Source organism: Homo sapiens, chromosome 2, assembly GCF_000001405.40.
Source record: "Homo sapiens chromosome 2, GRCh38.p14 Primary Assembly".
NCBI classification, from domain to species: domain Eukaryota; kingdom Metazoa; phylum Chordata; class Mammalia; order Primates; family Hominidae; genus Homo; species Homo sapiens.
In genome coordinates this window covers 173,153,811-173,171,498 of record NC_000002.12, presented here as the reverse complement: position 1 = coordinate 173,171,498, position 17,688 = coordinate 173,153,811, and the positions used below count along the sequence as shown (strand labels likewise).

The 17,688-nt window shown below is 38.4% G+C and overlaps 1 protein-coding gene across 8 annotated transcripts in view; it reads right to left on the bottom strand.

Annotated features, from left to right (window-relative positions):
• MAP3K20 (mitogen-activated protein kinase kinase kinase 20) overlaps positions 1 to 17,688 on the bottom strand; it is a 192,499-nt gene that overhangs the window by 96,517 nt on the left and 78,294 nt on the right. For all 8 annotated transcript variants that reach the window (XM_047444746.1, XM_017004324.2, NM_016653.3 and 5 more), the window contains exon 3: positions 1,607 to 1,694. In XM_047444746.1, the coding sequence (XP_047300702.1) occupies positions 1,607 to 1,694 (88 nt within the window). The remainder of the gene's footprint in view (positions 1 to 1,606; positions 1,695 to 17,688) is intronic.

Genomic DNA, 17,688 nt, shown 5'->3' with positions numbered 1-17,688 from the left:
TTTCTATCCTTCACCCTCACCTCAAGAAACTAGAAAACTTCATGAATAGCTCATTAGTTGGCCAAAAATATTTTCAAAAAGCATTAAACATCAAGAGTATATAATAAGAAACAGAGTTTCTAGTCTCTTGGGAGTGTCACACTTTCTTAGGGAGGAATAACATCAGCCACAAACGAGGATCAGAACACTGGATTCAGATTTAAAAAGTAAATATAACTAGTAAAAAGAAGTAGATACAATGGACACGGAAAAAAGGAGCCACATGGTATATGGGTCAGAGAAAGGTTTAACTTTAAATCAGAAATCTGACTTAAAATGTGAGGTATGGTTCCCCCTCAACCAACAATATAACCCATTCTTGGGTATTCACATTTATAAGAAATATAGACTCAAGATAAAAGTTGCTACATGCCCCATTTCAGTCACAAATCTAAAGACAGTGAATTGGGGATAAAAGTCCCTCCACTTAATAACTTAGGTTAAAATGCTACTAAGAGTAAAAGCATGTTAAACTACCTGCCGCCAGAAGATGGTATAACAGTAACCATGTCTCTCTGAGTTTAAGAACCAGTCAGCTCACAGCCTTCCAGAACCTAGCTTGCATAGAAGAGGAGCTTCTGTGGAGAATCAGCCTGAGAAATTTATACCGCTTTGGTTCTACCACTAGCTAGGTGACCATGGAAAAGTTGCTTAAGTTAGAGATGTAGTTTCTTACTAGTAAAATAGGAATTATTTTATCGATCTCATAGGATTACTCTAAGTATTAGATGAGATAATTTATAGAAAGTACTTAATACAATCCTTTTTATTGAGGGTGTTTTGTTGTTATTTTCTATAAAGACAATCCAGGTTCTCACCTCTACCGAGAACATGTGGCTAATACTTAAAGGTTTTCTTGTTTGACTTTGTTTTAATCAAAGATTTGCCAAGATAAAGATCAAAGTTATTTGTTGTAAAACCGATTATAGACCTACAAGCTATTCAGTGGATTATACAAATATGAGCATAAAGTATTGAAGATATGTGTCTTTCTGTATTTTCATGTGGCAAAACTTTCTATGTGCTGCTTTTTAGAAAGCGTATTTCTGTCAGTTATAAACTGCTGCTCCAAATTATGTGATAATTTAGATCAAGGTCATTACCAACTTAGTTGACCAAACCTGAAAAATATTGTTCTTATGTCAGAGACCTTGAAGAAAGAATGCTCTAATGGGATTAAAATGCCTTGCAAAGAATTACAACATGAATAGCTCAAGAAATCTTAATTTATAAAAGGTCACAGAGTTACAAAAAACATGTTTCATTTCAGCTAATTAAATGAAATTTTAGTTAAACGGCACCTTGAAATATTGGTATTGCAGCTGCGAGTGCATTTAAATAGCATTTACGCAGATATAATTAGCACAATTAAACATGGGTAGAAGTGGAAACACTATTCTTAATTATATTGATATAATCAGTTTTATTAATGCTTTATAGCAACAAAAGTGACATCTGACAGTAACACACAATTCATAACTGAGCCTAATATTAAGCATTTTAGCATATTAAGGAATCTAAAGCTAGGTAATTGGAAAAAGAAAGAAGTCAAACACTGAATTCTTACCTGTGACAATGCCATAGTTGGGAGGTTCAAGAATTACTCCATAAAACTGGATGATGTTTCTGTGACTGAGGACACTGAGTATTTCTGCCTGTACAAAAAATAAAATGCAAAGTTGCATAACATTTCACATTTATAATAGTCAAATAAAACAGGCTTCCTACTCATTTTTTTTTGAGTTAGGGTCTTGCTGTGTTGTCCAGGCTAGAGTACAGTGGTGTGATCTTGGCTCACTGCAGCCTTGGCCTCCTGGGCTCAAGTAATTCTCCTGCCTCAGCCTCCCAAGTAGCTGGGACTACAGGCACACACCACTACACTCAGCTAATTAATTTTTTTTTTTTTTAAGAGATGGGGTCTATGTTGTCCAGGCTGATCTCGAACTCTTGGGCTCAAGCAATCCTCCCACCTTGGCCTCCGAAAGTGCTGGGATTACAGGTGTGAGCTACCATGCCCGGCCTTAGTTTTCTTCTATGTACATTTACAAAGGTATATATGTGCCCAACAAATATGTGATTCTGCTAAAGCTGTCTTTCTTGAAAGTTGAAACATTTCTACTGAAGCTTTCTGAAAATTTAAAAAGAAAATGGGGTTGAAGAAGCGATAAAAGAGGCGCTTGCTAGCAAGCCCACCTGACTGATAATGGAGGAGAATGACTGAAGAGATACCCCATTTATTTACAGTGAAGGTCCTCTTCCTAATAGTCCAATATATATATTTTGCAAAATGTCTGTTCTGAGAGGCTACAGCCAGACTGAACTTCTGTTGGTTAGATGAGTCAATAATAAGTGGGTATTCAGGTAATACCCACTTATTTATCTAATCATTTATGCAAAATATATTATTGTTCTCCTTCTGTATGCAAGGTACTATAAACATATAAAGGTAGATTCTTGACCTTCAGTGGTGATTCGATAGGAGGCCGTATTTATACATTTTGAAACGTGTTAAATATTAGAAAGTGGTACTGAAGAGTGACATGGTAAAAATAAGTTGTATTTATTAAACTTAATTTTTAAAACAAAAAAACCAGATACTATAATATATATCTGCTAATGTCAATAGAAAGATGATCTCTACATAAATCTTATATTCATCAATATTTTATGACTTTTATGGAGATAAAATATGGCTAATCAAGAATTATAAATATGAGGTATAAAATCACGTAAGTTAAATATAGAAAATATTCAGTATTTTTCAATGAAAGGCATATTACTGGCAGTAAGTAGACTGGAGATTTATAAGTCCCCACCCCAGAAAGAGGATCATCAAGAAGAATGTCAGCAGTTAATGAAAATGGAGACACTTTGGTCAGAAAGGGACTCCCCTTTGGGAATGTGTACACTATGAATTAGTGTTATTTGCTAATCAGTTTTTTTCATAGGATAAGAGTTGGGATTTCATTAAAAACAGCTGCGAAACTGGTTTTGAAGGTGGTGTAACTAGGTGGAAAACAAGTTTGAGGGTCGGCATAGGGTCAATATGAAATTGAGATAAAGAATATCATTGATTGCATGAGACGCTTATCAAGCTTGATTTGACAGTGTTTTCTTATAGTAATACATGTGTCAAAGGGGGCTATCGCTGCTTAATCAAACAATTCCTTAATACTTATTGAGTGCCTCGTGTGTATAGAGGGGTCTGTGTTCATCAAGCAACCTTCTTCTCATAGTTTAGTTTCTCAACTAGGAAGAAGATGTATTATTTGTGCAACACAACTATTCATCCACATGGCAACCCTACTTCTTACTATAATAATAAATAATAATAAAGTTTATTTATTATTATTAGAAATAAAGTTTATTTATTATTATTAGAAATAATAAATAAAGTTTTTTGTAAAAATAGAATGTATGTGCAGTTTGGAAATCACAAAGCCCCCATTTTAAGTGGTAGGACCAACTGTTTGTGAATAAAGCATTAAAGTTCAATGTGAGTAAAGCAATAGAGTTAATGTTTGAACCAGTATTTGTCAAACTGAGGCAGTGTTATCCTTCGGAATATTCTTTGGGGCACCTGAATTTTGTGATCATTAAAGATTTTTCTATCAATAAAGAATAAATACAAGTATATTCTGAGTCCTTGGATGACCACTTTACAATGCAGCATGATGGGATTTTCAGTGTGCCAGCTAGTTTCCATGTTTATATTTAAGATATTGCCAAGTGATATCTTGAGGAGATAGGATTGATCATTTCAGGTGCCGGTAAGCATGTCTAACAGCTGTTAGGCTGGCAAATGCTAATGTCAAAATAACAATCATTATCCTCTATCCCCTTGTTGTGCTCATATTTTTTGCAAAAAAATTTGCAGTTTTATTTCCAAGTAAATGACATTTTCATGAAATAAGATTTTAGGTTCTTATATAATAAACTAAGAATCTGATTTAACATAATAAAAACAACATGTTATTTTAGAGTGCTGTACTGATTTCATGGAAATGGGCCAACAGTAAACAGAGGCAGACTGAATAAGTAAGTGATATGTTTGTAATAAATGAAGGTCAAATGACATCATGATGTCAGCAATTCAAATAAGCTCCAATAAAAACAAGTGTGAGGTTAACCAAATTATTAAAACCTGTGTTGTTGCAATCACCCTCTGACAGCAAGCAGATATACTCTCTGGATTTTGCCTTTATAGGCACCTGCTTGCAAGAGCTCATTAAAAAAAAAACTGTTGGCCGGGCGCAGTGGCTCACGCCTGTAATCCCAGCACTTTGGGAGGCCGAGGCGGGTGGATCACGAGGTCAGGAGGTCGAGACCATCCTGGCTAATATGGTGAAACCCCGTCTCTACTAAAAATACAAAAAAAAATTAGCCGGGCGTGGTAGCGGGCGCCTGTAGTCCCAGCTACTCGGGAGGTTGAGGCAGGAGAATGGCGTGAACCCGGGAGGCGGAGCTTGCAGTGAGCCAAGATAGCGCCACTGCAGTCCAGCCTGGGCGAAAGAGCGAGACTCCGTCTCAAAAAAAAAAAAAAAAAAAACAGAAAAACTGTTGCAATAAATGTGTAGTAAATAATTTGTCACTGAATTGCTGTTTTTCCTTTGTTTTCCAGATTTATATTCTGGGATAATCTAGCAAATGAGCTGCGCATCAAAATAATGGATTAGTGGTTTAAAAACGTGTTCACTGTTAAAAGGAAAACATGAAAATGATGAAAGCTAAAATAATGGTCCATCATACAAAAGTATATCTTTTTACACTATTAAAACCAACATAAGCCATTTATTTTCAGTAAATATAATTGGATAACAATCGTTAATTTAAACTGTATTGATTTTATTTTTGTTTAATTGAAAAATTGGTTTTGAATTTACCTGTATATGAGAGTTATAAGGAGTTAATTCTTAGTTTTATGTTTATGTATATTTAAGTTACACAGAAATAATTTCAGTCAACATGTGAAATCTGGAAGACTAAAATTTTCTATATAAAAGATCTACACATTTCTCAGTGTGCAAAATGCTTTTCTAGGGAGTCAAACAGATACTTGGACCCAATGTCCAAAGCAGCATTATTCACAATAAACAAAAGGTAAAAACAACCAAAGTGTTTATCAACTGACAGATAAAATGTGAGGCTATATATAAAAACAATGAAACATTATTTCTGCTGTAAATAGGAATTAAGTTTGGATATGCACTGCATCATGAATGGGCCTTGAAAATATTACGCTAAGTAAAATATGCCAGGCACAAAAGGGCAGATACTGTATGATTCTACTTATATGAACTATCTTGAACAGACACATTCAGCAATAAAGAAAGCAGATTAGAGGTTGTAACCAGGGGCTGATGGGAGGAGAAAATGAGGAGTTATTGCTTAATGGGTACAGCGTTTCTGTTTGGGGTGATGAAAATTTTTGTAAACAGACAGTGGTGATGGGTGCACAACACTGTGACTATAATAAATGCCACTGGCCAGGCACGGGGACTCATGCCTGTAATCCTAGCATTTTGGGAGGCTGAGGCAGGAGAAGAGAAGCACTTGAACTCAGGAGTTTGAGATCAGCTTGGGCAACATAGTGAGACCTTGTCTCTACTAAAAATAAAAAATTAGCCAGGTGTTCTGGCACATGCCTGTGGTCCCAGCTACTCAGGAGGCTGAGGCAGTAGGATGGCTTGAGCCCAGGAGGTCAAAGCTGCAGTGAGTTGTGACTGTGCCACTGCATTCCAGCCTGGGCAACAGAGTGAGACCCTGTCTAAATAAACAAATAAATCCACTGAATTATACACTTAATTACGCTGAAATAGCAAATTTTATGCTATGCATATTTTACCACAATACAAAAGTTTAAAAAATGGTATTCTAAATTTTTGCAGAGATGAGTGATCAGAGTCTATGTATTCAATAGTCATCTTAAAGTTATACAAACTACGGTCTAAGTATCCATAAGATAAACATGTAATTTTCCAAACTAGGACTTGGAGGATCTAAGAAAAGACTGGGACAGACTGCAACAATATATATACATTTTTAGACAGAGTCTCACTCTGTCGCCCAGGCTGGAGTACAGTGGTGCAATCTCCACTCACTGCAACATCTGCATCCCAGGTTCAAGCAATTCTCCTGCCTCAGCCTCCTGAGTACCTGGAATTACAGGCACGCACCACTACACCCAGCTAATTTTTGTATTTTTTTTTTTTCAGTAGAGACAGGGTTTCACCATGTTGGCCAGGCTGGTCTCGAACTCCTGATCTCAGATGATCCACCTGCCTTGGCCTCCCAAAGTGCCAATTTTAACTCAGGCTCTAAGATTCTCCATAAAATAAAGGGCCCCAATCTGAGATATAAACGGAGGAATCAAGGTCTATTCATAAAAATGTCTAATAGTCATGTCCTATTAGGGTACCAAAATGTCTCTACAGATTATTGTTTGCCTGCTCTTATTGTTTCCAGCTGGGGCCAGTTCCTTTCTCCTTTCCTCTTTCCTTTATCAGAAAAATTACAGAAGTTTTAGTTTGTTGATTAACCTGGGAGGTCGTGAGTATTTTGTTGTTTGTTTTATCGGCATTTCTATAAGTTTACAGGGGAAAACGAGCCATTAGCTCAGTTTGCCATGTTTCCAGACATCGACTAACACACAGGTTCCAAACGACTGATTCAGAGATATTAAAAGAAGTTAAATATCATAGTTTTAATTATCTTCCTTTGAAGTATTTCCAACAGTTAAAAAATATCTCCATCTTCAGAAGGACTCTTTTCCTTCAATTCAAAACTTTTTTTCAACCTAATCCCAAATTTTATTTTGTTTATTTAATTTTGGAGAGCTGCCATAGACTCCTTAAAAGATTCTGTGTCTTTAAAGCTTGTTTTGCAAACATCGACAAATGGGACTAATTAAACTGAAGAGCTTGTGCACAGCAAAAGAAACTGTCAACAGAGTAAACAGTCTACAGAATGGGAGAAAATATTTGCAAACTATGCATCTCACACAGGTCTAATGTCCAGAATCTATAAGGAACTTAAAAAAGTTTACAAGCAAAAAACAACCCCATTAAAAAGTAGGCAAAGAACATGCATAGACACTTTTCAAAAGAAGACATACATGCGGCCAACAAGCATATGGAAAAATGCCCAACATCTCTAATCATTAGAGAAATGGAAATCAAAACCACAATGAGATACCATCTCACACCAGTTAGAATGGCTATTATTAAAAAATCCCAGCACTTTGGGAGGCCGAGGCGGGCAGATCACAAGGGCAGGAGTTGGAGACCAGCCTGGCCAACATGGTGAAAACCTGTTTCTGCTAAAAATACAACAATTAGCTGGGCATGGTGGCACACACCTGTAATCCCAGCTACTCCAGAGGCTGAGGCAGGAGAATCGTTTAAACCTGGGAGGCGGAGGTTGCAGTGAGCCGAGATTGCACCACTGCACTCCAGCCTCGCGACAGAGCTAGACTCCGTCTCAGAAAAAAAAAAAAAAGTCAAGAAATAACAGATGCTGGTAAAGTTGTACAGAAAAGGGAATGCTCATACACTGCTGGTGGGAATGTAAATTAGTTTAGCCATTATGAAAGGCAGTTTGGAGATTTCTCAAAGAACTTAAAACAGAACTAGCATTCAATCCAGCAATTCTATTACTTATATTCCATACTTACATTCCATTACTGGGTAATGGAATATAATGGGGGAAACCCAAGGGAATATAAATCATTCTACCATAAAGACACATGTTCGTCCCAGCACTATTCACAATAGCAAAGACATGGAATCAACCTAAATGCCCATCAAAGGTAGACTGGATAAAGAAAATGTGGTACATACATACCATGGAATACTATGCAGCCATAAAAAAGAACAAGATCATGTCCTTTGCAGAAACATGGATGGAGCTAGGAATACCATGCAGCCATAAAAAAGAACAAGATTGTGTCATTTGCAGTAACATGGATGGAGCTAGGAATATTATGCAGCCATAAAAAAGAACAAGATTATGTCCTTTGCAGAAACATGGATGGAGCTGGAGGCCATTATCCTAAGTGAGCAAAGGCAGGAACAGAAAACCAGATACAACATATTCTCACTTAAAAGTAGGAGCTAAACACTAAGTACACATGGACACAAAGTAGGAAACAATAGACACAGGGATCTACTTGAAGGTGGAGGGTGGGAGGAGGGTGAGGATTGAAAAACTACCTATAGGGTACTATGCTTATTACCTGGGTGATAAAATAATCTGTACAACTAACTGCCCATGACACACAATTTACCCATGTTACAAACCTGCACACGTACCCCTAAACCTAAAAGTTAAAAAGCTTGTTTTACACCTTTTGTATTCCATTTATGTACTCTATATGTATTTGTGATAAATATTGTAAAAATAAAATTGAGTTCACTTATTTTTGTGAAAGAAAGCAAAGATACCAACAACAACCTGTTGATGGGTATAGAATGAAAGCAATCGTTTATGAAGCCCCACATCATAAGGCTGGCAGGTTCCACTTACATCTTATACTCAGAACAGGCTTTTCTCTCTGATTGTCAACAGCTACTTCCCTCCACCTAGCAGCAAGATTGTGTCTCAGCGGGGTCCATGCTTCTGCATGTGATGTGGCACTGACACAAGGTACACTTCTTTTGCCCATGAATGTCAATTACTCCTTCAAGTCCTCTAGTGTGTGTGGTATTTAAGCATATAACTACTCCACGGACCCTGATCTCTAAGGTCCTCACCAATTTTTTTTTTTTTTTTTTTGGAGACGGAGTTTCATTCTTGTCGCCCAGGCTGGAGTGCAATGGCGCAATCTTGACTCACTGCAACCTCCGCCTCCTGGGTTCAAGCGATTCTCCTGCCTCAGCCTCCTGAGTAGCTGGGATTACAGGCGCCTACCACCACACCTGGCTAATTTTTGTATTTTTAGTACAGATGAGGTTTCACCATGCTGGCCAGGCTGGTCTCAAACTCCTGACCTCAGGTGAGCCGCCCGCCTCAGCCTCCAAAAGTGCTGGGATTACAGGTGTGAGCCACCATGCCCAGCCGGTCCTCAACAATTGTAGGAGTCTATCATTTCATCAGAGTGTGGCAGTAAGAGAAAGAAGAGTGGTTCATCCAGTCACTCAGCTGAAGCCATCTCTTCACTGCACTCTACATCCAAGGTCCAAGGCTCTCTCCAAAAACTGCATCTCCAAAATGCCAATATGATCCAGGGTCACTATATTCCCCCAAAGTTCAAGAATATAGGAGATGATCCTACATTTTTGAAAAATAAAAATTATGTGTATAGAAAAAAGGCAAGGAAGAAAGAAAACATTATTGTGGTCATCTATTTCTAAGTGGCAGAAAGAATAGGGATCGTAATTTTTTTTGTTTCCCAAATTCTTTACAATAAGTCTATGTAATTTTTATAATCAGAAAAAGCAGTACAGGCATGTTATATGTAATATATATAAGAACATATGACTACGAAATTTAAAATATTTATTTGCATGGAAAGATTCTCCCTAGGATTGGGTCAGGAAAAAGTGAAGCTCTTTCCTTACCTTCCCAGGACTACGGTAGGCATATAAAAACTCATTTAGTTAACCACTGACCTGTGATTTTCTCCCGATACGGCTCTGGAACAAACCAGCGTTCATTCAGGTTACTCTTACAGAAGGCCATAGGTTCTGAGAAGCTATGAGACTAAAGATGTGGATACTGGAAATCACGTGGGCTCTAGATGGACTTCAACCTACTCGGTATGCATGTGGTTCAGCATTTTATTACATAATGCTCCTCTCCCTTCTTGTGTCTGCTCCTATGGTCTGCTACCCTTTAGAAGAGCCTTTCCTACTTTGCTCCTCTTATAAAATATCTAGTATAATACCACATGAGTGAGAAAAGTCAGATACCCTATATATAGGAAGCACTAACATTTAAAGGATGAATGAACAGTATTTGATGATAATGATATTCAGTGTGTTTAAATAATTATGGAGAGCCTATGTTAGCAAATGTTAACCCTGAACCGTACAGTGAGAAGAGTAAAATGCCGGGAGGTATGAATTTGCTTCAGTATTCATTCTGCTCTTTTACATGCTTAAGGGTTACTTAGGGTACATTTCATAAGAGTAACAGTCAATCAATTATATAATTGCAGTAGGAAGCACAGTTCAGAGTTATGTTCACTAGTTCACTGTGGATTTAAACTTCAAGAATGAGGATTTGGACAGCTGCACTTTGCCTCTTTGTAGGCACTGTTGCCCAAGGCAATTACATGAGCACAATTTCTTGAGAATCCTTTGCTGCTTTGCATTCTTCAAGCATGCCCTTGCCTTTGCATTGTACGTTTTCTTTGCCGTGTACTTAAATGTAGGGTTTTAGGATTAAGCAAGGATGAAAGGCTTACTTAACCTTAAACCCTCTATTTCCAATTTTCTACCCAATACATTTTGCCATGTATTTCCAAAGTCACCTCTACAGATGAGCCAGCCTTTTGCCAAGTCCACATTCAATACCCATTATTCGACCTGAAAGCTACGGTAGGTGCTTCTTTGCTGTGTGCTGACAGATGGACCCCTGGTACTCAGTAGTGGGGCCACATTGCACACAAGCTCCATTCCTAGGCCAGGGCCAGTATCATAAATATCCACAACAAAAGAACCAGGGTCTCCTCAGTGCAGCATACCTCTTATCTTTATCACTACAGAGTCCAGAACTATTGTACTTGGCAGCAGAATGTGAACGCAAGGAGAAATTATTGATTTAGAAACTCCTAAAACAGTATTTACAAATCTATAACGTCAAAACAGCTAGATCTTTCAGGAAAGATGTAGGGAGAACTTCCCTTGCCTGCTAATTGTTTCAGGCTCTGATTATAAAGAAAACGAAGGAGAGTTTTCAATCTCAGTTATCAAAAGTATAAAAGGTTCATGATCCCAGGATCTTGACTGAGTCAAAAACAAAACAAAATGCTGCTTAATTCAGTGCATTTTTACCCCAAGAGTATCATAACCAGGGCTTTTTTTAAATAAAAATAAAAAACTTCATTCTTACCTGTATGACAAGATGGAAAACCAGCCTTTCTATGTCTAAAACTGCTGTGCTACAACTTTAAAAGCAGGCTTGGAGGATTTTCAATCCTGTATATAATCACCAGAGAGTTATACACAGGTCATGCCCTTTGAGTCACTTTGGGCTTAACAAGACCCATTCAGTCACAGTCACATAAAAAGCAGCAAACTTCACAATTCCATAGGTTCTTTTTCAAATGATGCTCTTTAGTATTCAGGGCAATAAAGAAGGATAAATGAACTGAATTCAAACCCATAATAGAATACATCCTATATTCTGAATGATGTTTGACATCATGAAGACTTTTCTTTGGAAGAAAAACAGTTACAAATGCTATGAAAAAAAAAATACACCAGTCATTTCCCCACTCTTCTTAAGCAACTGAGATGGAGTCACCAGTGCTGGGAAGTCTCCTATTGCTCAATGGTATTCCTGGTGTGATGCAGCCGACTCACTGTGTGCAGTCACTTGGGAGGAGCCTGGGCTTCCCTCCAGGGATCTAGAGCTGCTCTCTAGTTAAGTACATACCCAACTAAGGGCAGACTCACCTGGCAGGATAGGAGGGTGGCAAAAACTGGATGAAACAGAGTGAAGATTTAAGACCAGGGATTCAAGAGCTATTTCCAAATCACAAAAAGGCAAAGAGATTTTACATTCTTGGTGTTCACACCAGAATGTCACTGATAACATGAAAAAGTAAGGCCAGGTGTGGTGGCTCACCTCTGCAGTCCCAGCACTTTGGGAGGCCAAGGCAGGCAGATAACTTGAGCTCAGGAGTTCAAGACCAGTCTGGGCAACATAGTGAGACCCTATCTCTACAAAAAATGCAGAAATTAGCCAGGCGTAGTGGCATGTGCCTGTAGTCCCAGCTACTCAGGAGACTGAGGTGGGAGGATCACTTGCACCTAGGAGGTCCAGGCTGCAGTGAGCTGAGACCGTGCCACTGCACTCCAGCCTGGGCAACAAAGATCCAGGAAAAAAAAAAAAGAAGGAAGGAAGGAAAGAAAAGAAAAGGAAAGGAAGGAAAGGAAAGAAAGAAAGAGTAAAATACATTGAAACAACCCGTACTCAGTTTGGGTGACAAAAACACAGACAAGAATTCAGTCGGCTTTCTGTCAAACAACTTATGCAACTTGGTCGAAGCAATCATACGGAAATTATCCCCAAAGAAAATCCCCAAACAAGGCTTCAAATTGGAACTAATGAAGGATTAGGCATCTACGAAATTGAATAGCAATATAACTTAATCAAACATTGGACTAGGTGAGTAAAAATTTAATTCTGTTCCAAAATGGATGGCCCTAAAGCGACCTGGTCACTCTGGGCCTTTTTTCCTTCCTACAAAATGACTTGATTGCACAAAATTGTCATTCAGATCCCTTCATGCTTTACATTTCTATCCATTTTTGTGAAAAAATTAATGTATTATTAACAGCACACAGAGTAGGTGCTCAATAAATATGTGACAAATGGATTGGAGGTAATTAACCATGTTGTATTAGGACAGCCTCTGGAGTCACATAGGCTTCATTACAACGTTGGCTCTGCCACTTACCAGTGAGGTGACTTTGAGGAAGTTATTTAACCTGAGACTCAGTTTTCTCATCTGTAAAAGGCAGACAGTAATCCTACTCCAGTGCCCAGCAAATGCCAGGTTGCTCCACCAATGCTAAGTCCTTTCTCTGACATCTTTCTCCTTCCTTTATAATCAATGATCATTCAGAAGCAAGTCAAGCTTATGAGTAAATTCCTATGTCTTCCATCAATGGATTCCATTTACATATTTTGCTTGTTTTAATTAGCCTCATGTAGTTATTATATTCGACTGTCCTTGTTTACTTATGTTTTTACCTAAATATAGCACTTTGACATTTCCAAAGCATTTATCTTACTTGACTCTCAAAAATGAGATATTGTATTGTATTTAAGTGTTGAGAAAATTGGGTCTTTGATTTGATTTTCTCAAGCTTACTTGCCTAGTAAATGTAATAAAGTCTGATGCCAGGTCACCTGCCTCTGCCTCTTTTTATATATTCTCCTCCCCCTTTCTCCCTTTAAAAAAAGTCCAGTAAAATCATAGGTCCTTCTAAACATTTTTTATTAAAGCTTTCCCCTGCTCAAAGAGATTTCAACTTGCAGACTCTATAATACTAGCTAACATGTATTGAGTACCTACTGTGAGCTAGGCCAAAAACTTCCTGTAGATTGAACCCTTACATTCTCACAGCAAACATGAGTTAGGGCTTACTATTAATCACCCTTTCACAGGGGAAGAAACCTAGGCAAGGAGAAACTTTAAAACTTGCCCGAGGGTACAAGAAATGGCAAAGCCAGGTTTTTAGTACAAGTAGTATGATCTCAAAGCCCTGCTTATCATCAGTAAACCATACCACTCCACTTCACAAACCTAATTTGAATACAGAATAAAACGAACAAGGAAAAATTAACTGGTCTAGAAAGTTCCAAAGCTCCCTTTAGTCACAGAAGCGTGAGAAACAACTCATCAGCTTCCTCTTAGGGCCTGAGCTGCTGTCCCCACTATAAGATTTCCAAGTCTTCCTGACACTCAACTGTGCAGAATCAGGTCAAGAACCAAGATCTAACTCCCTACAGGCACTAGGCCATCAGGCCAACCAGCATCAACCAATTTTATAGCTAATAAAACCAGTTAATTGCACAGCAGGAGGCACTCTCTCTATGCAAAAATTACATGGTTAGAAATTTTGAGCAACTCTCACAATCTGATTAGCTAAGTGCTTTATAATATTACTCTCCAGTGAAACAGAGTTTGATTATTTACATCCCATAAGAGAAATGTTTGCCATATTTATTATGGAAATCTACAAAATCATTTAAAAGAATTTAGCAAATTTAATTTTAAAAGAGTCTGAAAGTCCTTTAACATCTTTTAGACTCCAATTAGACAGTGTCTTGAACACTTGGATTCTTCAGCTACATTAATGATTTTACTGTTTTGGGGTTCTGTCAGCACAAACAGTAACTAAAGGCATATGGGTGATAGCTGGCAGATAGTTTTAGTTTTATTAATTGCAAAAAAAAAAAAAAGGTACCAAACCCTAACTAATACATAGTAAAGATAATCTGGAATCATAGAATATTAAGAATGGAAGGGATTTGAAGTCTTTCAGTCTTTTTCTTTCTAGTCCTCAACTACAATCCCACTTTAAGGCAACTCCACTCTTAAAGGCAAAAGATCACTTCTCCCCTAATGGCTTGATGAACAGATCGCCTCCATTTGAATGAACTGTCTCATACTTAATAACCATCACTCCAGCCACCATCTTTCCTTTCGCTAACAAAGGAGTCAAAAGGGACACCCATATTTTCACCTGCACAGGGGTTGGTGCCCCTAACCCCTGCATTGTTCAAGGGTTGACTGTATTTTATAGTGTATCTCAAATTGCAGTCTTTAAAAGAAGATTCCAGGTGTCCATAGATTCACAGATCCTTGATGGCCCCTGAAACCAAAACTCAAAGAAACACTGGCCTAATCAAAGGGTTACCTCTTGGTTTCCCATCTGTACATACAAATACTATTTCCTTGACTTTGTCTACGCCAGGAACTTTCACCAGCATTCTACTTTAGCTCCTTATGACCATCTCTTAGGTAATGGTACCAACAGTGGTCTGTTAGGAACCAGGTCGCACAGCAGGAGGTGAGCAGCTGGCGAGCGAGCATTCCCGCCTGAGCTCCGCCTCCTGTCAGATCAGAGGCAGCATTAGATTCTCAGAGGAGCACAAACCCTATTGTAAACTGCACATTCAAGGGATCTAGGTTGCACGGTCTTTATGAGAATCTAATGCCTGATGATCTGAGGTGAAACAGTTTTATCCTGAAACCATCCCCCACCACCGCCCTATCTGTGGAAAAACTGTCTTCCACAAAACCAGTCCCTGATGCCAAAAAGGTTGGGGACTGCTGTCTTAGACCCTTTCATTACCCAGCCACCTCACTTAGAAACCCTTCTCTGACCTCAATCTCTTATGCTTACTCCCATGAAATCAGCTCTTCGGTTGACCAGGTTGAGGCTTCTAGTCCCTCAATTCCTTTCTAATAAATGGGGTTCTACTAAAAGAAACAGAGATCCAAAATAACAGTGCTTTAAACAAGATAGAGTTTTATAACAAATCAGTCTTGAAATAATAAAATGTCTCAAAACACGAAGGCTGAAAGAATCCCAATATGGCAGCTCAACAATTCATTATTCTACCATCCTTAGCACTGGCTTACATCCTCGAGGTTGTGTGGTGGTCCCAGTGTAACCCCTGAAGTTCCAAACCGTTAAATTTACATTCCAGGCAGCAAGAAGGAAAGTACACCAGGGTGTCCTCTTAGGTCAGCTTCTTTTAGAGAGCTTTCTCAGCAATCTCATCTAGAAAGTTCTGCCTATATCTCATAAATGAGTTCTATTTTCAGGAAGGGCTGGGAAATGTAGTTTTAAGCTGGGTATAGTGGCACATCTAACAATACAGGAATCCTAAGGAAGATGAGGAGAATATTACTGTGTAAGCAGCTAATAATTAATGCCATATCTATCAAGCTATCAGAGATCAAGGTTCCGTTTAATGGAAGAGTCGCTAGGGTACCACAACAACATTTTGCACTCCTTGGTCAAATAATCCCAAAACATACTTGCCAAAACCCTAAAGTTCCAGTCCCCATGCTACCAATCTCTAAGTATGGAAAAAAATCCAATAATTACCTTTCTATGCCCCTCAGTACTTTCAGATAAGCTTTTCTGACAGATCTGTACTGAAACAGTTAACATGGTGTAGTTATGATCTGTACATTTATTGAAAGCTAAAGGATGAAAGCAATCATTTTGAGTATCTCCAGTTAGTTTCCTCTTTCACTCTCCATTCAACATTCACCCAACAAATATTTATGAAGTATATATGATGTGCCAGGCACTATTTTTTGGCGCTAAGGACAGTGGTGAACAAGACAGCAAAACCTTTTTCCTCATGGAGCCTACTATCTAGCTGGAAAAGACGGACAATAATATCAAGAAATATACAAGATAATTTTCATGAGTAAGCTACAACACACCTCAGCTCTTCTCATGTCTTCTAGTACTCTTGCTTTTTCATCCTCAATAGATTACTATGAATACTCTCACATTAGGGAAACTATGAATACTCTCACATTAGGGAAACTGGTAGAACTCAGCACTCCTACCTTACACCTACGCCTTTCTTTCTGTCTCAGAGAAAAATGTACCCCTCCCCTTCCCCAGATTTTACCTCCCCCTCTTCTCTCAGGATATCGCTCTCCATCAATATTCTTTCTGAAATATTCCATCTCTTTCTAGTTCCATCCTCTAGGCCTAAGAAAATGTTTTTCATCTCTCCAAAAAATAACTTTTCTTGACCCTTCCCTCCTTCTCAAACTACTTTCCTGAACACCAAAACTTCTTGAAATAATACTTTACACCACGTTCCATTTCCTCACTTTCTATTGGCACCCTAATCCCATTATATTTGGTTGGATTTCTATAGTAATGCTAAAGTTTCCCTAAGTAACTTGGAATTCTGATCTTTTCTTTCAAGTATCCTATATAGGTTATAGTCTGAGTTTTAACATTAAATGTAACCATGCCTCTCCTTAACATTCTGATATTGTCCTTAGTATCTACATTATTTTATATATTGATACGAATTAAAACAAGGATGGCAGAGTGCATCAGAGTGCTGGAAGTCAAATAAAAAGAAATAAACTCCTGCTATCAAGGGCTTACCCACTATTATGGGAAAAATAAAAGTACCTATTAACAAGATGCCACATAACAACCATCAGAAGTACAAAACACGTGAAGGATCTGTATTAAAATTAGGGAAGTTGGGAGGTAATGGACAGTGTCAACTAGACCATGAAGAATGGATTAGGCTGGGCACGGTGGCTCATGCCTATAATACCAGCACTTTGGGAGGCTGAGGCAGGTGGATCACCTGAGGTCAGGAGTTCAAGACCAGCCTGGCCAACAGAGTGAAACCCCATCTCTACTAAAAATACAAAAATTAGCCAGGTATGGTGGCACACGCCTATAGTCCAAACTACTCGGGAGGCTGAGGCAAGAGAATTGCTTGAACCTGGGAGGCAGAGGTTGCAGTGAGCCGAGATCATGCCACTGCACTTCAGCCTGGGCAACAGAAAAAGATCCCATCTCAAAAAAAAGAGAATGGATTCCATTTGGGTTCATAGCTGGGACGGGGTGCATGCCTGAGAAACGGCAGCACTTTAGTTTGGCTAGAATGTGGTGTAGTGATAGGGTAACAGGCAGGTAATGGAATTGCTAACACACAGCAGTGTGACTGCTAACATATGCCAAGCTGATATTTATGTCAAATTTCGGTGGGAGTGACTCCTAAAAAGCAAGAAAACAAACAGTCGACTCTCTGTATCTGCGGGCTCCATATCCGTGGATTCAACCGACTACAGACCTAAAATATTGGAAAAAATTTAAAAATAACAATACAACAATAAAAAATAATACAAGTAAAAATATGTGATAAGAATTACTTACAGAGCATTTACATTGTAATATGTAGTATGAGTAA